Here is a 26,551-nt window from a genome sequence, read left to right on the forward strand (position 1 = left end):
AGGTTCTTCCTGTCACCCAGGCTGGAGTGTGGTGGCATGATCGCAGCTCACTAAAGCCTTGATCTCTGGGGCTCAAGTGACCCTCCCTCCTAAGCCTCCCAAGTAGCTGGGATTATAGGCACCAGCTACCATGCCTGGCTAATTTTTTATTTTTTGTAGAGACAAGGTCTCGTTATGTTGCTCAGGCTGGTCTTAAACTCCTGGGCTCAAGCGATCCTCCCAGTGACCTTATAGGCATGCACCACCACGCCTGGGTAATTTTTACTTTTTGTAGAGACAAGGTCTCACTATGTTGCCTGGGCTGGATTCAAACTCCTGGGCTTAAGTGATCCTCCCGCCTCAGCCTCCCCAAGTGCTAGGATTACAGGTGTGAGCCACTGCACCCAGCTATAAATCTTAAACTTTCACATTTAGTAGATTAATCAGCACTGAAGTTGTATTTAAATAGATTCAAAAGTATGAGAAATAAGAAAAAAATGCTTTTGTGTTAAAGAAATTATTCAAACTTTCTAAATTTCAATACATACCTGTCTAACCCTTGCAACTTGGCACCATTTTTATTGAAGGGTAAATGGTTTGGGGGTAGGAGGGGTCTTTAACAGCTAACATTATAGTAAACATACTTAGGGTGGACAATATTTGTGAAAGGAAAAGCTAATTGGCAATATCACGTATGGGATTAAGAGTTCTCTTGTTGCTAGGTTTGTCCCTGACATGTCTCAAAAACCCCTCCCTCAAAGACCCACGGCCTTGGGGCCTTGACTCTGGGCTGCCCCCGCTGCAGTTCTTACCTCTCTTCTGCCCACTGGGTCACCTTCTGCTGCGCTGTCTGGCTGCTGTAGGCCAGGCGGTCAGGGCCGCTACTCTGTGGCTGCCTGTCGGGGGAGAGCTGCTGGCGGAGTTGCTCCAGTTCCCGCTCATACATGAGCCGCTGCTCCTCTAGGGCACTTCTCTTTTCTTCTAGGTATTGTTTCTCCAGGACCTGAACCACATTTTGAACTGGGTCTAGTGAGCCAAGAGACAAGGCAAGGTGTCTTAGTGGCGGCTAAAACAAGCATTCATGCCAGGCACTGCAGCCTGTGGGAGGCTTCCTCTAGCAAGGAATCTAGCCAGTCAATACGCTTTTTGTGAGAGGCCTGAGGGGCCACATCAGGGAAATCCTCTCAAATTCCTTGTTACAGACATTGCAGATAAATGCCCTTTATAAGTATACATTCTCCACATCCTCTACGTTACTTTCTTCAATTTGATGAGCTCATCCTAACGTTTAGATAAATCATTAACCTACTACCAGCAGATGGGGGAAGAGAGAGGAATGTGATCTTATCCACTGGGAAGAAAAACTTCACGAAATCTAGGACAATTCCAAACACAGAAGCACATAAGATTTGATCTTTCTTTATGGTAATTCATTTCTATGTCCATTTAATATCAGTTTTGGTATACGACAAAGATTTATGACTTTCACCACAAATCCTATTACTATTGAATTTCTCTAAGTGGGAGGAAACTTACAGATCACAGCACATGTTTGAAAATATTGCTTAAGGATATGGTCTGGCAATTTCTCAGACTAGTATCTAAAAGGACAATTCACTTGCAAAAATAATAAAAACCTGTTTCTAACATCTCACGTGTACAGGCACAGAGCTCACCACCATGCACATGGGTGAAAAGGTATAGATGTACTAACAGATCTTGCTCCAATGAGCTACCATGATGGTTGTGGTATAGGTAAATCCTAATGGGCTGGGCAGGATATCAACTTGGTAATGACCAATAAGCTGGATACTGTGGAGAAAGATCAAGGCTCTGGGTCACATGTACAAAAGGAGAAAGTTACTGACATCACTAAGTGAGGACAGTGTAGGGAAGGAGAATGTTAGACAATCTCAATAGTAGAACAAGAAAATCATCATCACAGTTAATATTTCCCAGAACTATATTGGACTGAGAGATGCATTCTCAGACCAGCCTGGGACATGATTTTCTCCTTGTACATTCACACATTTGCCTGCTATTCAGTGCCATTTATGCTGTATTCCCACACATTGGCACTCAGTTTAATTTCCAGAAAAGAAGCTGAAAATTAAAGTGACTCAGGAGGAATTTTTATATTACCTGATGATTGCTATTGACTGGTTTTTCCAAGATACCCTAACAACTTGTAAAATACACATGTAAATTGTAATAATTTTCTATATTAGCATTAAGAGAAAAAGATAGCATGTTAGCTTCAAAAAATAAAGTTAAATAATTCAAAACAAAAAGAATCAATTTTTTTAAAATCACAAGAAAAGCTCAGTATAGATGAGTTGTTTTAATAAAAATGACAACCACAATGGCAACAATAACTCTACTAGCTCCTGGCTACATCGCAAGTAGAGGTTCTATCTGCTTTGCATGCATCACTTCATGAAAGCTTTGCAACAAGCCTAAGTGTGGATATCATCCCGATTTTAAAAATGAGGAAACGGGGGCTCAAAAAGGCTAAACAGCTGATCTACAACACGTAGCTACAAAGTGACAGGGTCAGGTTTTTAACTCAGATAACTAACTAATTGGCTGGGGTAGGACATTCACTTGGTAATAAACTGATGTGGTACTCTTACCCCCAATGTTTTGCTTACAATTAGTATTCTGTGAAAGAGTGATACTTTTGAAAAAGATACTGTTTTATTGATATAAAATTCTAAAATTCAGCATGTTTTCAAAGAAGCAAAATAGTTTTCTTTGTAGAGTCCTGACATGAGTTCCTAAAATATATCACTTTTTTTTTTTTTTTTTTTGAGACGGAGTTTCGCTCTGTTGCCCGGGCTGGAGTGCAGTGGCGCGATCTCGGCTCACTGCAAGCTCCACCTCCCAGGTTCAAGCCATTCTCCTGCCTCGGCCTCCCCAGTAGCTGGGACTACAGGTGCCCACCACCACGCCAGGCTAATTTTTTGTATTTTTAGTAGAGATGGGGTTTCACCGTGTTAGCCAGGATGGTCTCGATCTCCTGACCTCATGACCTAAAATATATCACTTAAAAAGCTGATGGAAAATAAACTGGGGGCCAGGCGTGGTGGCTCACGCCTGTAATCCCAGCATTTCGGGAAGCTGAGGTGGGCGATCACTTGAGGTCAGGAGTTCAAGATCTGCCTGGCCAACGTGATGAGACCCTATCTCTACTAAAAACACAAAAACTAGTCAGGCGTGGTGGCATGTGCCTGTAGTCCCAGCTACTTGGGAGGCTGAGGCAGGAGAATTGCTTGAACCCAGAGGCGGAGGTTGTAGTGAGCTGAGATCGTGCCACTGCACTCCAGCCTGGGCAACAGAGTGAGACTCCATCTCAAAAAAAGAAAGAAAAGAATATAAACTGGGGGAAAAAACCCAAACCAAAAAACAAACAAAAAATCTTATGCAAACATAGATCCTGGGTGGGTAAAATATTATCTATATAATAACAACCTATGTATTCCTAAGCATCAGAACTTCTGACAAACTCCTATAACTTCTAAAAAAATATGAGAAATATGGTAAAATTTTTTTGAGGGCATCTGAAGACATTTTAAATGTAAGCTCTAGAGAAGAAAAGTTCTTTCAGAATTAAAAAAATATATACACATATTTCTCAAACAGTATATAGGCTCTGGGTTTAAAAAAGAAAGGACAGGGTGCTACAGTACTTGCCATCCATTTATATTTAGATGGAGCCCAACTGTCCTAACAGTGTTTATAAATCTTTTCCAGAGAAGCTGGAAAACACACCGTTTTATAAAACTGCATTATAGGGTTTTTGCTACGAGATACTGAATAAGATATATAATCCACATTTCCATTGTTAGTCAGTAGTGCAGAAACACACATGATCCCAAATGACTGGGGCAGAGGGGATCTCACCCCAAGGTTCCATGCTGACACAGGCCACGTGAGTGAGGCTATTTGAAACTGCACCAGCAGCTGTCATGACACAGCACTACCACTACTCACTAGGCATGATGAGTGGCCACAAATTGAAGTGCAAATACAGAAGACAGAGCAACTCAATCCGTCCTTCCTCTGAGACTCCCACAGTAGAGTCTTGTAAGCCCCATTCCCGAACTCCCAGATCCGCCCTCACCACACACAGCTACGGTGGAGGTCTAGGGGCTGGGGTTTTGTTTCGCCTCTGATCCCTAACATTAGTCTGCAAACACCTTTCTCACGGACAACTTTGATGACATTTTCTTTTCAAATCAATTAACCAGTTTCAAGTCTTTACCCCACACACAGCATATTTTCAAACAGACCATCCAAATCAGCAAGTCGATCTGACTCTATGATGTGGCCCAGGACGGAAGCCAAAGATTATTCAGCCCTTTCTCAAAATACCAACCAAATATCAAGAGATTGTCCACAGGTTTATTTTTCCTATCATTTTCCTTCTCTTGAATGAACTGTTTTAAATAGTGAGCCAGGTGCCCAAAGCCAAGATCTCAAAGAAGTAAGTATTTTAGGAAAAAAGAAAGGACCACGTTTACTTTGGGCATAGCACTTTCTCGTCCTCATTAGTTTCTTCTTTACTTAGTAGGTAACTATGCAATGAGCTCAAACCGACCCATCATCCCAAGAATGGAAAAGAAAAAATGGCGGTGGTAGTGGTGCTGGTAGCAGGGTATTCATATAAGAAAGAGAATTAGAATTAATTAACACCAAAATGTCTAAAAAACTGAATTGAGGGGAAACAGATCTTTGGAGAAAAAAAGAACTATTTGATCCCAGATGGAACAAACTGGCACTACGCATGACCCTTTGTCAGCCCCTTAATTGTTCTTTATTTTTAAAATGTTTTGTAGAGATGAAGGCTCACTATGTTGCCCAGGCTGGTCTCGAACTCCTGGCCTCAAGCAATCCTCCCACTTTGGCTTCCCAAAGTGCTGGGATTACAGGAGAGAGCCATTGCGCTTGGCAAAGTTGCACTTTCTTTAGAGCTGCCATTGACATTGAAAAAAGAGATGATTCTTATTTTGTCTGATTCCTATTTCAAACCCCTGGGAAGAAGGCATTATTGTCCACAAATACTAGGTTTCTTTTTACTTTTAATTCAAATGAATTGGATTTTAGATCAGTATTTACTCTAGAAACTAAAAAAATACATTAATCTTACCTATTACTGGGATACTGTAGGTGAATATATATCTGGAAGTACTACTGACCTGAACTGCTCTGCTGTCAACAGCAACAAAGCCATCGATAACAGCAGTAATAATACCAATAATACTTTTCAGTGCTGTTGCACACATACAGAATAGCTGCTGTTAGAGTTTAACCAAAATCTGGGAGGCAAATGGAATTGGGACATGGTGTGTGTGTGTGTGTGTGTGTGTGTGTGTGTGTGTTGGGGGTGGGGTGTTCATAATTGAAAAGGAACATTCCTCAATGAAGAATACAGAACACCTTCATCAGCCAGAAAACTCCAGCTTCTTCCCAATCATGTTAGTTAGATTTTTGCCAAAGCATGGAGCATGAGCATCAATCAGCAGCACTGCTAAAAACCAGCCAAGCTCCCTCATGCCAATGCCAATCAGTTAAAAACCTTTATCCCAGTGTTTGTGGAGGAGCTTCGTCTGAAACCACATGAGAGGAAAGAGGATCTTCAAATAAGACCACCAAGGGGATGACCACCAGGCAGACAGGCTTATTATCGGGAAGCCACCTAGCAGTAGAGGGGAATCACAGTGAACACCGTCCAGCCACCGGCACATCAGCACTTGCATCAGAGACTGTGTGTATGCCCCAAAGGGAAGCTCCACTGGAACTGGGTAAAGGATGGGGTAGGGGGAAACATAACTTCTTTTTTTTTTTTTTGTGATGAAGTCTTGCTCTGTCACCCAGGTTGAAGTGCAATGGTGCGATCTCAGCTCTAACTGCGGCCTCCACCTCCCAGGTTCAGGTGGTGCTCCTGTCTCAGCCTCCTGAATAGCTGAGACTACAGGCACGCATCACTACACCTGGCTAAATTTTTGTATTTTTAAGACAGACTGGGATTCACCATGTTGGCTAGGGTGGTCTCGAACTCCTGACCTCAAGTGATCCGTCCACCTCAGCCTCCCAAAGTGCTGGGATTACAAGCATGAGCCACTGCACCCAGCCATAAATATGACTTCAATATGGACAAAATCAACACTGGAGAGCAAGGCCTGATCTGGGATACAAAAGAATAATTCATGTTAACACTGTGCACCAGGCCACTGATGACTCCAATTGGTTTGGCTGAGAGGATCAGAGGAATTAACAAATGCTTACTGAATACTCATTGATTATTGAAGGAGTTAATTTATATATAAGAAGGTAGTAATTGATTCAAATAAGGAACCTGTGATCTCGGAGGGCTAAATGATTAAACTGATACCACCTGTAAACTCTGCAGAGTTAGCGACTAGAGATGTCTAGATTCTGTAACGTCCGCTGAAGCAATGAGCTGTCTCCAATGGGAGTTCCTCCACCTGGAGTTTGGAGTCTACATCCTCCTGAACACCCTATATCCACTCAGGCTTCCAAAAGATCACTCACAGCAGACTTGTTGCTCAGTTAGGTTGTTAAATAACCCATTAATGTGATTCTGATGTCTGAACGTCACTTCGAAATGTCTCTGGGATTCCTCCCAATTGGTGGGGAAGTAACAGAGTGGAATGAATCTTGACTCCTAGCTATGGTCCACCCTGCACTGCAGGGCCAAAAGCCCCAGTGGCTAATCTTAACACTCTACTCTTACTGTTTAAAGACAGAAATTGCCAAACTTTCTCATAAAGTTGTTTTTTCCTACTTTTTTCTTCATGGTTCTATACTTTTTTTTTTTTTTTGGAGACAGAGTTTCACTCTTATTGCCCAGGCTGGAGTGCAATGGCACCATCTCGGATCACTGCAACCTCCACCTCCCGGGTTCAAGCGATTCTCCTGCCTCAGCTTCCTGGGTAGCTGGGATTACAGGCACCTGCCACCATGCCTGGCTAAATTTTTATTTTTTAATTTTTAGTAAAGACGGGGTTTCACCATGTTGGCCAGGCTGGTCTTGCAGGTGAGCCACCTGCCTCATCCTCCCAAAGTGCTGGGATTACAGGCATTAGCCACCGTGCCTGGCCCCTATACTCTTTATATAAATACATTACACTTGTTTTTCACAGTCTGGCTGGCTGGCTGTCTTTCTCTCTCTCTCTCTCTCCCCGCCCCCCACTTCCCCCTCCCTGCCTTCCTCCCTCTCTTTTTCCTTCCTTCCTTTCTTTCCTTTCTTTTTTTGAAACAGACTCTCGCTCTGTTGCTCAGGCTGGAGTGTAGTCGTGTGATCTTGGCTCACTGCAACCTCCGCCTCTCAGGTTCAAGTGATTCTCGTGCTCCGGCCTCCCAAGTAACTAGGATTTCAGGCATTCACCACCACACCTGGCTAATTTTTGTATTTTTAGTAGAGACAGGGTTTCACCACGTTAGCCAGGCTGGTCTCGAACTCCCGGCCTCAAGTAATCTTCCTGCCTCAGCCTCCCAAAGTGCTGGGATTACAGGTGCAAACCACCATGCCTGGCTAATTTCTGTATTTTTAGTAGAGATGGAGTTTCACTATGTTGCCCAGGCTGGTCTCCAAATCCTGGCCTCAAGCTATCTTCCCGTCTCGGCCTCCCAAAGTGCTGGGATTACAGATGTGAGCCACCATGCCTGGCGTTTAATTTAAATTTCTTTTTTTTTTTTTGATAAGGAGTCTCATTCTGTCGCCCAGGCTGGAGTGCAGTGATGCGATCTTGGCTCAACCTCTGCCTCCTGGGTTCAAGCAATTCTCCTGCCTCAGCCTTCCGAGTAGCTAGGATTACAGCCATGTGCCACCATGCCTGGCTAACTTTTGTATTTTTTGGAGATATGGGGTTTTGCCATGTTGGTCAGGCTAGTCTCAAACTCCTGACCTCAGGTGATCTGCCCACCTGGGCCTCCCAAAGTGCTGCGATTTACAGGCATGAGCCACCACACCTGGCCCTACATTTCATTTTTATAATTAAAAAAAGAGGCCCCCTAGGCAAAAACTTCATAAACAGAAATCAATGAAAAGGCCAAAAGCTTTAATCCTGCAACAGAATCCCCAATTTGATATGCCAGAGATCTGATAATTCTCTCACCATGTGCTTGCCTTGGCAGCACATATGCCACAATTCTCTATGCTCAAATTCTTCCCAGATAGGCTCAAAGAGTAAAGTGAGAAAGCCAATGTTTAAGGGAAGAGCTCAACTGTGAAAAACAAAATGCTCGGCTGGGCGTGGTGGCTCATGCCTGTAATCCCAGCACTTTGGGAGGCCAAGACAGGCGGATCACGAGGTCGGGAGATTGAGACCAGCCTGCCTTAACACGGTGAAACCCCGTCTCTACTAAAAATACAAAAAAATTAGCCAGGTGTGGTCACGGGCGCCTGTGGTCCCAGCTACTTGGGAGGCTGAGGCAGGAGAACGGCGTGAACCTGGGAGGTGGAGCTTGCAGTGAACCGAGATCGTGCCACTGCACTCCAGCCTGGGCGACAGAGAGAGACTCCGTCTCAAAAAAAAAAAAAAAAAAAACAAAACACCAAAATGCTCTTCAAGCCCCCTGTCAGGTAGAGGCTGCCTGTCTTAGGGCCCTCAGGGCCCTGGAGGTCCACCCTGGTTCAAGTTAGGGAACCTCAGGTGCCCCAAGATCAGATGAATGAGAAGGAGAGGTTGGACTGAGCCTACAAACTACCTTTCTCAGGTACCCCTAAACAGCCTCAGTTTTATCCTCATAAAATCATTCTAGTCCCAGAAATGTCATCTTGTGGTTGGTAACAGGTGAACATTGCTTCTGGCTTCTAAGTCCCAGTCATCAAATCTAGCAATTAAGACACTGGGAGATGGGAAAAGAAAGGGCAGATTTATAAAACAGCAAAAAAGGAAAGAATTTGGTGTCTATTTTATTTAATGCAGGCAGGTGTGTATAGGCACAGAATAAGAAAGAAAAGGTAAAGGAACACGGACTTTTAGATGTGAAACTTGGTATAAGTCAAATAAAGAGGCTATAAAGCATTTCATTTTCACTATCATTTTTGTAAAAGTGATCTGGGCTTATTAAATAAATATCTTTGGGGTAAAATTTCCAATTGAGTTTATACTAAAATGCTGTGACTTTTATCTTTCCATAGATTATATTTGAAATTCCTGAATTTATATTCTGTTGGGGATTTTCACATTCTCAAGGATTCAGATATGACAGGCTCGATGATGAGAAATTTGGTAAGGAATTTTGTCAAAATCATTCAGTACTCTAGGCCCGTGGAAATGTCACCACAATTCGCTTGGGAATAAGAGGTCTCAAAAACGGGACCATCCATATCCTCATTGTAACTGAGGGAGAAGACCATCTCCCCCACATCTTGTCATTAGTTATTCACTGATGGCCTTTTAAAGAAATGAGCAGTTTTATGTGTTTAAAATGTGGAATGCGGAATGACACCTGATGCATGCTTATCCCTCACTGAATGGTGTGAGGTGAGGAAATGCCCAAGGCGCTGGAACACAGAGTGAGGGTCTTACCATTACTATTCAGGGTTTTCATGATAACTTCCATCTGTGCAAATTCATAGTTATAGTCTGGTTCAGAGGAAGCCTCACTGGCTGCATCCAGGTCATGCTCTGGCGGGCCCGTTTCTTTTTCAAAGTCTTTCAACCAATCTCGACGTTTCCTCTTAGGTAAGTTTATTCTGTGGGGTTTTTCACCATTAGAGAAAATCAACTTGTTTTACACTTAAATAGATAACAGAAAAAATGTATACGAAAATATATTACAGAACACAAAGATGTTACCTAAAAAAGTGATTATTTCCCCATAGGATTCGGTCACCATGCCACAGCTGGGTGGTACTGCACACAAGGGTGCCGTTCACACAGGACCTGGGAGAACACGAGGGAAAATACCAGGTAAATGGGAAGGAGCACAAGACCTTGTCCTGGTAGCCAAAGAGATAACTAGGGGAGCTTTCTCTTAATAAATGCATTCCAACTAACGCTTAAAGAAGGAAGAGCAGAATGTGTAACCACTATGAAAACACACAATCTAAGCCATGAGGACCAAGGGCTGCCAACACCCCTCAGAGAATGACAACCTAACATGATGCACTCCTGATGGAGACAGAAAGCACCACCCATGGCTATTCTTGTCAAAATTTGAGCTGAACCTGATCAAGCTTCCACATTTAAATGCCAATTTAGGAAATACAGAGAACAATGGAGGATGTGAAATGATGCCATGGGATGCAGTGAGCAAAATCCTGACTGTGGGAACCTCTAGGATCAACAATGAGGTGACTTCAACAAATAAAATGCAAGGAAGAAGAGAGAGAGGCAGAGAGAGACAGGGATAAACAGACACACACACACACAGAAGAGAGGAAGAGGAAACCCATTTGTTAAAAGAGATCTAAGAGGAATACTATAAAACAATGGTAGGATCTTATCTGGATCCTAATTTCAAGAAACAACTGAAAAAGAAAACTGATGAGACAACTGGGGAAATCTGAACACTGACTGGCTATATGAAGATTAGTAACGAATTATTATTAATTATTTTAGGTATGATGATATTGAAACTATATTTAAGAATCTTCATCTTTTAGAGAGACATAGTGAGATATTTATAGATACAATGTTATAAAATCTGGAATCTACTTTAAAATAATTTTTTTTTCTGGGCATGGTGGTGGGCGCCTGTAATCCCAGCTACTTGGGAGGCGAGGCAGGAGGTTTGCTTGAACCTGGAAGGCAGAGGTTGCAGTGAGCCGAGATCTTGCCACTGTACTCCAGCCCGGGCAACAGAGTGAGACTCTGTCTCAAAATAAATTAAAAAAAAAATAAATAAATAAAATAATTTTTTTTCTTTTTGAGACATGGTCTTACTCTGGTTGTCCAGGCTGGAGTGCAATGGAGCAACTACGACTCACTACAGCCTCAACCTCGTGGGCTCAAGTGATCCTCCCACCTCAGCCTCCCGAGTAGCAGAGACTACAGGTGTGCACCACTATACCAGCTCATTTTTCGTATTTTTTTGTAGAGTAGGGGGTTTCGCCATGTTGCTCAGGCTGGTCTTGAACTCCTGGACTCAGGCAATATGCCCCCCTTGGCCTCCCAAAGTGCTGGGATTACAGGTGTGAGCCACTGTTCCTGGCCTGCTTTAGGAAGGAGGAGGAGATATGGAAGGCATATAAATAACAAAACTGTCTATGAGATGCTCATTTTTAAAACTGGAGGATGGGTCCATGGGGTTTCATTATATTATTCTCTCTACATTTTTTTTTTTTTTTGAGACAGGGTCTCGCTCTGTAACCTAGGCTAGGCTACAGTGCAGTGCTATGACCATGGCTCACTGTAGCCTCGACCTCTTGAGCTTCAGTGATCCTCCCACCTCAGCCTTGTAAGTAGCTGGGACTAGAGGAATTGAACACCATGCCCGGCTAATTTTCTTATTTATTTTCTGTAGCAACGGTGTCTCACTATACTGCCCAGGTTAGTCTTGAACTCCTGGGCTCAAGCAATACTCCTGCCTCAGCCTCCTAAAGTGCTGGGATTACAGGTGTGAGCCACCCCGCCTAGCCAATTTTCTGGTATTTAAAAACAAAACAAAACACTGGAGGTGGACAAGATAACTAAATAGTTAATTGAAGGTTAATTTGCCAAAGGACTGTCAGGTAAAGTTTGAAGAAAGAAAAGAAATGTCACTTTGAGTTTTCATTTTCCAATAAGTTACTCTTTTCACTTACTCTCATAATTGGACTCCTGATCTTTACAGGGTTCTAAAGCTCAGAGTTATGGATTAAGTGGAACTAGAACTCGCATACAAAAATAGTCACTCCTTCACAGTAATCACTCTCTACAATCAGAAAGCAAGGGCCCCCTGAGGACCCCCATGTATCCTTAACTTTAATATAGCTGAAAGCAAACAGAAAGAGGCAGCCTTCTCCTTCTGAAAATAAGGCACACAAGACACGTGAAGTCACCATTTACTTTTCTTACCTTGCATTTTCTTTTGGAGTGAGAGTGACGTCTCCATCAGATGCAATGTCAATCTCACAGTGCTGAGGCTGAATTCCTATGCCAAAAAGCTGGATATCTTGAGAGGTATCTGCACCCACCCTGGTGTGATCCTAGTAAAAGATTATTAAGGAAAGAAAAACCCACATTTATGAGTAACTCAGCAAAAATGTATCACAATCAATTTGAATAACGCAGCAGCATATGCACAAAAATATTAAACGAATCCTGCCAGAGATGTTAAATATCTTAAGCATTAAAAGTAAAACGCTTACCCTTAATACACCAAATTAAAAAAAAATGTTTAAACACTACCAAAAAAAATCCCCAATCAACAATGATTAGTTATTGTTTTTAACACAGGAAATTGGACTTGACAGTAGAATACTTTGAGTTTCAATTGTGACTTGACCACGGGGAAGCCATTTCACTCTCTGAGCCTCAGTTTCTTTGTTGGCAAAACCAGAATAATATTATCTATTTCACCTATTTAGATTTCTTTTAGGATCATCTGAGTTAACAGTGAAAGTGTTTTGAAAACAGTTACATAAATTTAAGAACCATTAAAAAGCAGTTTCATTGACAGTAATATTTTAAAATATTCAACTTTGAAAATGCTAAAAATTTTGAATTTCTAATACTGATATTACATACAGTATTAATGCCTGTGGGTCATACCATGTACAAACGTGTGATTTTTTTTTTTTTGACATGGTGTCTCACTCTGTCACCCAGGCTGGAGTGCAGTGGTGCAATCTCAGCTCATTGCAACCTCTGCCTCCTGGGTTCAAGCCATTCTCTTGCCTCAGCCTCCTGAGTAGTTGGGATTACAGGTATGCGCCACCACGTCTGGCTAATTTTTATTTTTAGTACAGATGGGGGTTTCACCATGTTCGCCAGCCTGGTCTTGAACTCCTGGCCTCAAGTGATCCGCCCGCCTTGGTCTCCCAAAGTTCTGGGATTACTGGCGTGAGACTGAGAACATTTTAAACTACAAACATAAACATACAACCCTTAGCCCTCAGGGCTATAATATCATTACATGTCTCATAGACTCCGGAAAACTCCACCAATACATGCGTGATAAAATGAGAGAGCAGAGCCAAACAACATGTTCGTGTTTATATTAAAGTAGTTTTGACCTCACAGGCCTCATGAAAGGTTCTCAGAGACCCCAGATCACACTTTTAGAACTGCTTGCTTACACTGCAAAGTGAGAAATAGGACATCTGATTGACACTGATAGCGTCCAATACAGTAAACACACTGCACCTGGCCTCATGTGATTTTAAGTACCTGAACCTCAGACATACGAGGACTGTGACTATTGGTGATTCAGCCACTGCTTATCCCATTTTTTTCTATTGCTCTTAAAATAGTTTAATAACTATAATAATACCTCCCTATTTGACAGAGAAAGTATAAGGATTGGTCTTTCAAAATCAGGATTTCAGAGACAATTCCTTACCCCTACTCATTGCCTAAATGAACAGATCTTAAGTTTGTTGGGGGACTCTCAATAACTCAGGGGCTATTTGTACCAAATTTACACCTCTAGGAAAAGTAGAAGGTGAGGCTCCTTGCTTCAATTTTGGCTTATTCTCCATTGCATTTTATGTATTTACTAGGCAGATCAGAATCCTTAACAAGGTGTCTCACTGTTCTCAAGCAGGCAATACCTTCGCATTTAGAGATTCAGGTGTGTGGACAGCATATGTAAGCTGCCTTCAAGGCCCCAGGTCCCCAATCCTTGAAAGTTCGTTTCTGTAACTCAGAAAGTGTGTGTATGTGTGAGATTAAAAATGCCCTGATGGTTGGCTGAATGCCTTATGTCAGTCACAGTGTCCTAAATCAATGTCAATCAGATATCTTATTTCTCACTTTGCAGAGTAAGCAAGCAGTTCTAAAAGTGTGATCTGAGAACCCCCGGGGTCTCTGAGAACCTTTCAGGAGGCCTATGAAGTCAAAACTACTTCAATAGAAACATGAACATGTTGTTTGCCTTTGCTCTCTCATTTTATCATGTGTGTGTGTATTGGTGGAATTTTCCAGAGTCTATGAGACATGTAATGATGTTATAGCCCTGAGGGCTAAGGGTTGTACGTTTATGTTTGTAGTTTAAAATGTTCTCAGTCTTAGGGTCCAATACAGTAAACACGGATATAACCCAGACACATGAAAGTTCTTTGGAGTCCTTGATACTTTTTTTAAGAGTGTAAATGGGTTCTGAAGTCAGAAAATTTGAGAAATGCTACAGTAAGCTATCCAACGTGGCATGTCCTGCGACCACAGTGGCAACAGGGCGGCCCCATCCCACCTCTACACCTGAAGGGTGATTATGGGACCAAAAGTTATTTCCTGAGGATGTGGGTTTACAAGGGATAGACCTAGAAGAACATTGTTGTCTATTTAATCTAGGACGAGGGTCTCCTTTAGGCTTGTGTTGATCTTGAGATCTCCTTGGAATTACTCAGAAGCATAACTAAGAACCTCCAGAGCTTCTCAGGAGCTTTGTGGAAGAACACAGATATTCCCAGAATCCTCACCATCTCACACCTAGAGCCTTCTCATAAAGCTAGGCATCACCTCGACACCTACTGTTGCCCACTTATGCCACTCTGAAGCCTGGACTCACAGGAGATCAGCCCCAACTGCACAGCCCCAGATGATACAAAATAGCTGTTTTTCCTTCTCAGTGGTGATCGGAGGGCACTATCCATCTTAGTTTTACTGAGGGCTAAGCTGGATACAAAAAGCAACATCACAGAGACAGGCACCCAGATTCAACTACGAACTGTATAGGAATGAATCTTGATTGCATATGTATTTATATGTTCTCCTACCTTTAAATAATAAACCAGAAGTTCGTTAAGAGCAGGGTCTGCATTCAGATTGACTAAGTAGCATTTGTCATCCCCCACCTTGATACCGGACATCTCCAGGGAAATCCCCATGCTTTCAAGTTGTCGTTGTCTTTCCTGTGCACAAAAACAGACAAAAGAAGGAAACTCTGTTTGTTGTTCTATTCACAAGATGTATCCACGGAAAGAGTAAGTCACTGTTTCTGGGGACAATGCCAATGGGATTACACATGCTACTCTGCTCAACCACATTAACAGAGAGTCTACAGTGCATGACATCTTGTGGCAGGCGTGATAGGGGCACCAAGGATGAACCAGACACCATTTTGGCTCTTAAGGAGCTTAGAATCTAGTAGAGGGAACAAGACCACATAACTAGAGCACAAAAGAGGAGAGTGTTGTGCTATTGAAGGGTACAAAATGCCAGGGGCTTCCCAGGAGAGACATCATGATGGGTTAAGAGACCAAGAAAGGCTGCAGAAAGAGGATATATTTGAGATAGTTCTTGAAGCATAAGAATAATTTCAACAGAAATATAAAGATAGGGTGTTCTTGGGGCATGGCATACGGAAGCACACTAAAGAAAGGTTCTGGACATACTAGATGATTTCAGGGGCCAAGAACCCCTGGCAAATATCAGAAAGCAGTGAGAGTTAAGGCTGGAAGAGAAGGTTGGGTCTCTACTGCGGAAGGCCTTGTATTCACTCATTCATTCATTCATTCAAGATATATTTATTAGAGTCTACAATGTAGTAGGTATTGATCTCGGGCTGGGAATACAGCACTGAACCCAATGAAGTCCCGTCTTTCATGAAAAGTTATATTCTGGTGGGAGGAGACAGGCCATAAGAAAACAGTTAAGTCAATATGGTACATAGAATTTCCAATGGTGTTAAGTACTATGGAGAAACATAAAGCAATGTTAAGCGGGACAGTGAGTGAGGTGTAGGGGTATGTGTGGGTGTGAACGATATCTATAAGAAACACATCAGCAGAAGGCTGGACTGGGTTCCAGTGACTGCTGTTAAGCTACGTGATTGGGATGGTCCAATATTTCCAAATGATCAATGAGATTAAAAATGTTCGTGAAATATATAATGTAGAGAAATTCATAATGCACATAACCCCGAGAATTAGTCCTTCCTTTATATTTTAACTTAAGTAAAAGTTAAAATATAAACATACAGCATTTCCTAACAAGCCCAAAGAATCAAATACATTGAAAAATTATGATATGCTATACGTTACAAATTCTCTGTCAATTAGGTAGCCTCTTGGGAGGCTAAGGCGGGTGGATCACCTGAGGTCAGGAGTTTGAGACCAGCCTGGCCAACATGGTGAATCCCTGACTCTACCAAAAGATACAAAAATTGGCCAGTTGTGGTGGCACACACCTATAGTCCTAGCTATTTGGGAGGCTGAGGCAGGAGAATAGCTTGAACTGGGGAGGCGGAGGTTGCAGTGAGCCAAGATTGCGCCACTGCATTCCAGCCTGGGTGACAAAGCAAGACTCCATCTCAATAAAAAATTAAATAAATAAAAATAAAATAAAATAAAATAAAAATCAGGTAGCCTCATGCTTTGCCAGGTGATCTAAAAATCACAAAACAAGGCTGGGCACAGTGGCTCACACTTGTAATCCTAGCACTTTGGGAGGCTAAGGTGGGTGGATTGCCTGAGCTCAGGAGTTTGAGATCAGCTGGGGCAACACGGTGAAACCCCATCTCTACTAAAGTACAAAAATAATTAGCCAGGAGTGGTGGCGCAAGCCTCTAGTCCCAGCTGCTCGGGAGGCTGAGGCAGAAGAATCGCTTGTACCCAGGAGGCGGAGGTTGCAGTGAGCCGAGATTGCGCCACTGCACTCCAGCCTGGGCGACAGAGAGAGACTCTGTCTGCAAAAAAAAAAAAAAAAAAAAAAAAAAAAATCACAAGGCAGACTTTCGTTTAAATGTGAAGAGCAGGAAATATGAATGACATTTTCTGTAACCATGCTTGTTCAAATTTAGTGCTATCTAACACGTCTAGCAAATATACAGGCCAAACTGTACATTGATAAAAAGACCTGACGTCAATGTCTAAAAGTGATCTTTGCTGGGCGAGGCACAGTGGCTCATGCCTGTAACCCCAGCACTCTGGGAAGCTGAGGCAGAAGAATCACTTGAGCTCAGAGTTTGAGACCAGCCCGGGCAACAAAATAAGACCACAGCTCTACACAAAATAGATAAAATTAGCTGGGCATGGTAGCACATGCCTGTGGTCCCAGCTACTTGGGGGGACTGAGGGAGGAGAATCACTTGAGCCCAGGATGTTGAGGCTGCAAGAGAGCTGTGATTGAGCTGCTGTACTCCAGCCTGGGTGACAGAGGGAGACCTTGTCTTCAAAAAAAAAAAAAAAAAAAAAAGTGATCTTTGCAATCTCTGGTTCAGCAGAAAAGGGCCCTTAAAAGACTTTCTGAGGCTGGGTGCAGTGGCTCATGCCTGTAATCCCAGCACTTTGGGAGGCTGCGGCTGGCAGATCACCTGAGGTCAGGAGTTTGAGACCAGCCTGGCCAACATGGTGAAACCCCATCTCTACTAAAAATATAAAAATTAGCCAGGCATGGTAGTAGGCACCTGTAATCCCAGCTACTCGGGAGGCTACGGCATGCGAACTGCTTGAGCCCGGGAGGTGGAGGTTGCAGTGAGTCGAGATCACGCCACTGCACCCCAGCCTGGGCGACAGAGTGAGACTCCGTCTCAAAAAAAAAAAAAAAAAAGACTTTCTGAAGATGACAGCAAACTACACAGAAAAGACAATAAGTGAAAAAGAATCCCAATATTTTAGGGCTAAATTATCAAGCTACCTGTGCTATCTCTTCTGTTTTTCTCAGCTTCTCTTCCCAAGTCACTGTTAGTTCTTTTATCAGCTTTTCAGACTCTTCGAGCTTCTCCTTCAGTTCAGGGGCCTTCATGGCCTTTAAAATGAAATCAGAGATATCTGATGTTCAAAATTTTTCCACCATCATATACAAGACAATCAGTTACTGTCCCTCTTAAGCAGTTATCAATAGTCTGTTGGAAAAAATTAAGTTATATGCTGTTAGGGTGGGTTTTTAACCTTTATTAATCAAACGAATGTAAGAGAACATGGCTGTTCCCTGAAAAAGAAATACCAGTGTCCTGAATGAAAATGAAACAAATCATTAGTCATTTTATCCATTATACTTAAATTTCACATTTAAAGCCCTAAAAGATGCTAACGTTCAACTTTGAAATAGATAAGCAGGACAAAAGGTTACTTAAGCAGACTTCTTTTTCAATAAGACGGAGGTTAACACTCATCATCAATAAATGAATTCCAGTTAAATTAATCTGCTAGAAAAGGTAAAGACTTCTCATGTATTTTAAATTTTGAATCTGGGCCTTTAGACTACCTTTCTCCACTGATGGTCATGCATTTTGTTATTTATCATTATCATTCACCCAGAAGCAGCACAGCTGGCTAAAAAGGCAGTGGTTTCCCTTCTAGTTTGTTCAGGGAGAGTAACTAAGAGGTTTCAATACAGATACTTGCAGCTTAACAAAATTTTGAGGGGAGAGGCCTTTACTTGTCAATAATATGCTTTGACACCTTAAAGTAACATGAGCCTCTACAAAGTTAAAACTCTATGAACAAGAAAGATGGCAGAGCTTGGACAAGAAGCTGGGATGTGATGATCTGGAAGCTAGCTGAGTATGCCTGAGGCTCATGGTATTAACAGAGCCTGACAGTGGCATTTAGTGCTGAGTACAGTGGGACATATATGAAAATTATAGGCCAGGCCAATGGCTCCTGCCTGTAACCCCAACAGTTTGGGAGGCTGAGGTGGGTGAATCACTTGAGACCAGCCTGGCTAACATGGCGAAACCCTGTCTCTACTAAAAATACAAAAAAAATTCACTGGGTATAATGGCGCATGCCTGTCTGTAATCCTAGCTACTTGGGAGGCTGAGGCAAAAGAATCACTTGAACCCAGGAGACAGAGGTTGCAGTGAGCCAAGATGGTGCCACTGCACTCCAGCCCGGGCAACAGAGAGACTCTGTCCACCCGCCCCCGCCAAAAAAAAAAAAAAAAAAAAAAAAAAAAAAAAAAAAAAAAAAAAGAAACAGAAAAAGAAAATTCTAGGTGGACCTATGTGGCTGGCTCTTCTTCTGTTTCCTTCAGCCAGGTATTGCTTGAGCCATCTCGCCCAGATTATGTGGTCACAGTAAAAATGCAAATAAGTAGATAATCCACCTATAAACACATTGCAGAACCATTATACTTTCCTCCTAGCATCATGACTATTTTCAAGGTTTATCAGCATTTTTATTTTTCTGGTGTTTTGCTACCCTTCTTACAATCTATCTGAAAATTATACTTTATGCACTGAATGATTATAAATTATAATAAAAATCAGCAACATTTATTGAGAACTTACTATGTGCAAGGTATTGTGGTAAGTGCTTTCTAGTATCAATGTTAGGCTAGGGGTTGGGGATAAAAAAATCAATAAAACACAGCATCTTGTACTTTAAGAGCCACAGCCTGGAAGAAGAGAAAGATATATAAACAAACAATTACAATGTAATGCCAAGATCACCAATTAATAGAGTATTCAGACTCTTGGCTTCACCTTTTTGTTTTTTCAGTCTTCTATTGATTACTTTTTGATAAAATATGCTGATGGATAGAAGTATTAACATAGTGCCTGGCATGTAAATGCTCCATAAATAATGGCCATTAACTGTGTTTTTCTTTCTTTCTTTTTTTCTTACAACTTAGTACTCTCCCAACTACAGTGGGGTCAGAAGAGAGTGGTGAAGGAATGTGAACTTAGAAGTGTCAGATACACTCCCAAGTCCTGGCATGTGGAACCCTGTGACTTAAACTAAGGCACTTGGCCTCCAAAGCTGTCCTCTTAAATATTTCAAATAAGACAGTGCCTCACCCAATAATTTGCAAAAAGCAACACCTATTTAGAAGAGTATATCATTATTAAAGTTTCAGTAAAGCCAAAGAAAGAAGATAACAATGCAAAAAGATTTTGTTTCTTGTCAGGGCCTGATATAAATGGAAAAGAAAAAGATTTCTGAATTATTCCTAATGTTTAATTATCTTTGATCACGCCGTTTCCACAGCTTAACAAGGAGATAACACCTAACTAAATTCTCTGAAAATTGCAAGGCCCTGTGGAAATAATAGTTTATAATGTTAATATAAACAACATACTTTCCCACTGAAAGTTCAAAGGCCAACTGATTTAGGGAAGCAAATGATCAGGTAGTAGCAGGAATTATCTCTTATTTGTTTGTTTCCATGACTATAAGTTCCTAGGACAGAGTATGGTATTACTCATGTTGGTCCTCACAATGCTTAGCATTTGGCAGATGCCAATAAACACTGAAGTGCTGAACCACATTGAGATGATGTATTAGTCAGTTCTCACATTGCTATAAAGAAATACCTGAGATTGGGTAATTTATAAAGAAAAGGGGGTTTAATTGGCTCATGGTTCCACAGGCTGTATGAGAACTCACTATCACGAGAACAGCAAGGGGGAAGTTCGCCCCCATGATCCAATCACCTCCTACCAGGCCACTCCTCCAACACTGGTGATTACAATTCAACATGAGATTTGGGTAGAGACATAAATCGAAACCATATCAGATGACCTACAATTGCAAATGAGCACACCCTTGCCAGTCAAATCCCGCAAGCCAGGGAACTTTACCAGCAGGGAGTACCAGGCTGCTTTTACCTCTGCCTGAGAGAGCTGCTCTCTCAGTTTCTCGACTTCCTCCCGCAGTTCTCGGATCACTTTTGCGTTGGGGTCCTCATTCACAACAGCATGGTTCACAATCCTTTTGGCTCGGTCTGCATATCTTAATGTGGAGAGGGTCTCTTCATAGTTGTCTGCGGCTGGGCTGATTGTGGCTATCATAGAGGTTTGGCTGTTGCCCCCCAAGTTGTCCTGCCAAGTATTTCAAACAGCATCTTAGGAAGCCCATTCCATGGACAACACATATGATAAAAGCACTAAATGTGTTAGGTATGACATTATTCTCTATGAAGGAAACATTATGTGGAAATGGACTTGCATTTCACAAATAACGTCATGACAAGATGAAATGTGTCCTCTCTATATTCAAGCAATGAATAAGGCCTGTCAAACAGCATTCAAATGGAATAAAAAGGAGTAGAAAATAGTTTTCATTCTGTGTTCCTAGGAATTAGAATAACTGTCATCAGGAGAGTTCTTTAGGTATTTGGTTAGCTTTGTACACACCTTTACTCTGTCACATCTGGAATAGCCAATTTTTAGTTGGAAAAGAACACTAGAGCAATGGATTACCTTAAGCAGCCAAGTGAGGACTGAATCTCGATAAGGCACAAATTTGCTTTTACCCTTGCCAGCTGCCTGGTCAGCCAGTGATGATATAACCAACCCCAAGGTTGTAAGCGATCTGTCAAGAAAAAATGAAAAATTAGTTTTATGGAATGTTTATTTGGTTTAAGTATAAAATATGCAGAACAATAAAGCTCCACAGTTAATACACGTTGGTGGCTCACGCCCGTAATCCCAGCACTTTGGGAGGCCAAGGTGGATGAATCACTTGAGGCCAGGGGTTTGAGACCACCCTGGCCAACATGGTGAAACTCTGTCTCTACTAAAAATACAAAAAATTAGCTGGGCGTGGTGGCAGGTGCCTGTAATCCCAGCTACTTGGGAGGCTGAAGCAGGAGAATCTCTGGAACCCGGGAGTTAGAGGTTGCAGTGAGCCGAGACTGTGCCACTGCACTGCAGCCTGGGCGACAGAGTGAGACTCTTTCAAAAAAACAAAAACAAAGAAACCCCAAAAAACCAAAATATCATAAAAAGAAAGTGCTTTGTAAATGGTTTAAAAAGTTAAATGCAGCTGGGAGTGGTGGCTCACACCTGTAATCCCAGCACTTTGGGAGGCTGAGGCAGGTGGATCATGAGGTCAGGGGTCAGGAGATCAAGACCATCCTGGCCAACATGGTGAAACCCCATCTCTACTAAAAATACAAAAATTGCCAGGCGTGGCGGCGTGTGCCTATAGTCCCAGCTACTCGGGAGGCTGAGGCAGGAAAATTGCTTGAACCCGGGAGGCGGAGGCTGCAGTGAGCCAAGATCGCGCCACTGTACTCCAGCCTGGGCGACAGAGCAAGACTCCATCTCAAAAAAAAAAAAAAGTTAAATGCTACTACAAATAACAAAGAAGGACACAAACTAGCAAGTGAAAGACTAGACAGCTTTCTTTGTAATGTTAACAATAGATTTCCATCAAATAAGCTGAAAGGAAAGCAGCCTATTTCCCACAAAACATAATTCCCCAAAGACGAGTCACTGAAAAGTCCCCGAAATATAATATAAACTCAAGATTCAGAAAATGAACCAGAATTCATTTGATCAGAATGGCTGTTAGAATTTTAATAACAGCCATTACCACAGAGTGGCATAAATATGTACATCATCTTAAGTGAAACAAGTCAAAAAAATTAAAATAAAAATATATAAAAGAAACAAGTCAGACACAGAAAAACAAATATTGCATGTCCTTACTCATAAGTGGAAGCTAAATAACGTGTACTCATGGACATAGAGACTGGAATGGACAATGGAGACTTGGAAGGGTGAGGGAGTGGAAGGGGAGAGGATGACGAGCTTATTTTTTTGTTTGTTTGTTTTTTGAGATGGAATCTCGCTCTGTCACCCAGGCTGGAGTTCAGTGGCATGATATGATTTTGGCTCAATGCAACCTCCACCTCCCAGGTTCAAGAGATTCTCCTGCCTCAGCCTCCTGAGTAGCTGGGATTACAGGCGCCCGCCACCACATCTGGCTGATTTTTGTATTTTTAGTAGAGATGGAGTTTCACAATGTTGCCCAGGCTGGTCTTGAACTCCTGATCTCAGGTGATCCACCCATCCTGGCATCCCAAAGTGCTGGGATTATAGGCGTGAGCCACTGCGCCCAGCCAAGAAGCTTAATTAATACTTAATGAGTACAATGTATGTTATTCAGGTGACGGATACCTTAAAAGCCCCGACTTGACCACTGCACAATCTGTGCCTGTAACAAAATTGCACTTGTACCCCATACATTTATCCACAAAAATGTACATCATACTTGACAGATTTAAAGGTGAAACAAATCTAACCCAAGAGAAGTGAAAACATAAGTCTACACAGAAACTTGTACATGAATATTCAAAGCAGCTTTATCCACAAAAGTCAAAATGTGGAAACGACCACATGCCCATCAAATGATGAAGTGATGAATAAAATCTGGTATATACACACAGTGGAATATCATTTGGCCATAAAAGGGAATAAGTTCAGATACATGTATCACAACAACTACAACACGGATGAACCCTGGCAAATTATTTTACGTGAAAGAAGCCAAACACAAAAGGCCATTGTCCTGGGTTGAACAGTATTCATGTCCGCCAGACCCTCAGAATGTGACCCTATTTGGAAAAAGGGTCCTTGCAGATGTAATCAGTTAAGATGAGATCATACTGGATTAGGGAGGGCCCTAATCTAATGAGTGATGTCCTTATAAGAAGGTCATATAAAGACACCCAGGGGAGACGGCCACGTGAAGATGCAGGCAGAGACTGGAGTGATGCATCTACAAGACAGGGAACGCCGAGGATTGATGGCCCTACAGAAACAAGGGGAGAGGCATGGAACAGATTCTCCCTCTGACCTGCTAAGAGGGAACAAACCCTGCTGACCCCTTGATTTCAGATTTCTCGCCTGCAGAATTGTGAGAAATAAATTTCTGTTGTTTTAAGCTACTCAGTTTGTGGTAATCTGTTACAGTAGCAATAGCAATCGAACACAGCCATATACTGTATGATTCCATTTATATGAAATATCTAGAATAGGCAAATCTATAGAGATGGAGGCAGTGGTTGACTAGGGCTGTGGGTGGGGGTAATAGGGAATGATTTGGATACAAGGTTTCTTTTGGGTATGATGAAAATGTTTTAAAATGAGACTGTAGTGATGGCGGTACAACTCTGAATATATTAATGCTACTGAATTGAACACTTTACAATGGTGAATTATATTGTATGTGAGTTACTTAATACAGCTGTTCAAAAAAATTAAATATGTCCAATCACTCCTCCAAAGGTAACAATTTTATGAAAAAAATACTGTATGTGATAATAGAGGCAAGTAGGAGTTCAATAAAAGGTAAAAACACATTTCTGCTTTAATATAGAATACAGGGCATTTTTTTCACATTTTGCAACTATTGATATTTTTGATTGGAAACAATTCTTTGAACTATCCCAGATATTTTACTATCTATGTGTGGCACATATTATTTTAATTCACACAAGCTCTAAAGAGTTCAGTGACTTAAAAGTCAATATTAGTAACTTTATGGTTGACAGTGACCTTTCACATGAAAATACATTTTGGAGATGACATGGATTTATCCATCACCGAGAGAAGACTTTCCTCTACTTTGTGGCAACTACTTATAATTTCTACTTTGACAGTGTAAGGGGGAAACACAGAAAGTTTCTAGTACTCCTAAATGTAGAAACATAAAATCCAAATAGCGCTTTGAGAGAAAAAAGGAAAGATACAGTGTCATCAATGTCCATCATATGTCTTGTCTGCAAGCTGACTGAAGGATGCCAGAATATGGATTATTTTAAGCTAGAGGCCACTGAGAACCAGCAGACTCAGGAAAAGCTCTAAAAACATGGCATCAATTTTCCTTTTGTAAAGGACATTTCCATTTGTAGAGGTGTCTCCCTCTCTAGCACCAAGAAGGGAAGTACTGTTAACAACTCTTAAAGGTGGAGAAACTTCTGTGTCACAAACTTCTCTAGACAACTCTTATTCACCATACTTTTCCTGGTCACCTTCCCATAACCTGCCTCCCGCATCCAGAAGCCCAAAACCCCTTTTCCTTTTTTTTTTTTTTTTCCAAAGACAGGGTCTCACTTTGTTGCCCAGGCACTGGCACAATCATGGCTCGCTGCAGCCTCAACCTCCCAGGCTCAAGCGATCCTCTTATCTCATTCTCCTGAGTAGCTGGAACTACAGGTGCATGCCACCACACTCAGCTAATGTTTTGTAGAGAAGGGGCCTCACTTTGTTGCCCAGGCTGGTCTTGAACTACTGGACTCAAGGGATCCTCCTGCCTTGGCCTCCCAAAGTGCTGGGATTTCAGGTGTGAGCCACCATGCCCAGTCGTATGCCCAAGTTATACCTACCACTTTGGGTTATTAATCTCTGGGTGCTCCCATGCATAAGCAAGATGCATATGCTAATAAAATGCTAGTTGCTTTTCTCTTGTTAATCTGTCTTTGGCCAGTCTAATTTACAGGGCAAACAGACGAAAAATATTTTTTCTCCCCTACATCAGTATAGCATGTAAGCAGCAGCAGCAGAGGGGTGGAGCTGTATGGAAGTGTTATATAACTCCAATTCCCATGTATATTTTGCTCTGTAACTCATCCAGTTACAGAAGTGTATCATTAGTAGAAGCCGCCCCTTTTATCTAATAGTATCCACACATTCAAAACAAGAACTCTATCTAAATCTATTACCATCCCCTTGGAACAGAATGAAAATAACTGCAGGGTGAGTGGGACTCAATGGCAAGTGAGAGACAATCAGGTCACCCAGGGATGAGGAGCCCATGCTATCCTTTTTGTCTATGTTCCACTCAGAAGCAATGATGCAGGGGCTTCTGGAATCCCAAAACCTGTTAGAAAGTTCAACGTCTGAAAGGCGAATCACAGGCTTATATGTCTGTGTGTTTGTGTGTCTACATACACACACACACATACATGTAAGTACATGTATGTATGTGTATATACACATACGTGTGTGTGTGTGTGTGTGTGTGTGTGTGTGTGTATACACTTATACATATATTATTTTTTTTCTTTGAGATAGGGTCTTGCTCTGTCGCCCAGGCTGGAGAGCAGTGGTACAATCCTGGCTCACTGCAGCCTTGATCTCCCAGGATCAAGTGATCCTCTCACCTCAGCCCCCTCAAGTAGCTGAGACCACAGGTGTGCACCACTACACCTGGCTAATTTTTAAATTTTTTTGTAGAGATGGGGTCTGGCTATGTTGCCCAGGTTGGTCTCGAACACCTGGGCTCAAGTGATCCTCCCACCTCAGCCTCCCAAAGTGTTGGGATTACAGGCATGAGCCACTGAGCCTGGCCAGGCTTACATATTTTTATGAATTATTTTATTCCCAGGGAACTTAAAAATATAAAAAAACCACTAAGTATTGATCCTGCTAATACTGTCTTCTCAAGCTGGAGGCCAGCGGGCAGCCTGTTGGCCTCACAGGAATCCAGAACAAGGGAACAGCTGTTTGCCAATGTTAGTGGCAAAATAAGTTATTCCAGGAATCTTTCTGATTCTACTAAAGCACAGCTCCTAAAGTTGGATATAGTAAGGAGGCTCTTAATCTTTAAATCTCTCACCATAAGTTCTTAGGCAGGGGTGGGAGGGCCTAACTGGAGAGGAAGTAAGTCTTAAGCTAGGAGATGACATTTATAAAAGGACAGTCATGTTTTAAGATAGAATTTTTTTTAAAAAAATCTATCAATCATAATGAAGAACTAAGGATAAAAAAAGTAAAAGAA

General features: G+C 41.9%; 1 protein-coding gene across 4 annotated transcripts in view; it reads right to left on the bottom strand.

The window, feature by feature from the left end:
• Nucleotides 1-26,551, bottom strand: part of KIF13A (kinesin family member 13A) — a 228,510-nt gene that overhangs the window by 57,103 nt on the left and 144,856 nt on the right. For all 4 annotated transcript variants that reach the window (NM_001105568.4, NM_001105567.3, NM_001105566.3 and 1 more), the window contains exons 10-17: nucleotides 21,244-21,355; nucleotides 20,650-20,862; nucleotides 17,733-17,843; nucleotides 14,873-15,007; nucleotides 12,012-12,142; nucleotides 9,810-9,896; nucleotides 9,540-9,706; nucleotides 792-1,005 (exon numbers count right to left, since the gene is read on the bottom strand). In NM_001105568.4, the coding sequence (NP_001099038.1) occupies nucleotides 792-1,005; nucleotides 9,540-9,706; nucleotides 9,810-9,896; nucleotides 12,012-12,142; nucleotides 14,873-15,007; nucleotides 17,733-17,843; nucleotides 20,650-20,862; nucleotides 21,244-21,355 (1,170 nt within the window). The remainder of the gene's footprint in view (nucleotides 1-791; nucleotides 1,006-9,539; nucleotides 9,707-9,809; nucleotides 9,897-12,011; nucleotides 12,143-14,872; nucleotides 15,008-17,732; nucleotides 17,844-20,649; nucleotides 20,863-21,243; nucleotides 21,356-26,551) is intronic.

Source organism: Homo sapiens, chromosome 6, assembly GCF_000001405.40.
Source record: "Homo sapiens chromosome 6, GRCh38.p14 Primary Assembly".
NCBI classification, from domain to species: domain Eukaryota; kingdom Metazoa; phylum Chordata; class Mammalia; order Primates; family Hominidae; genus Homo; species Homo sapiens.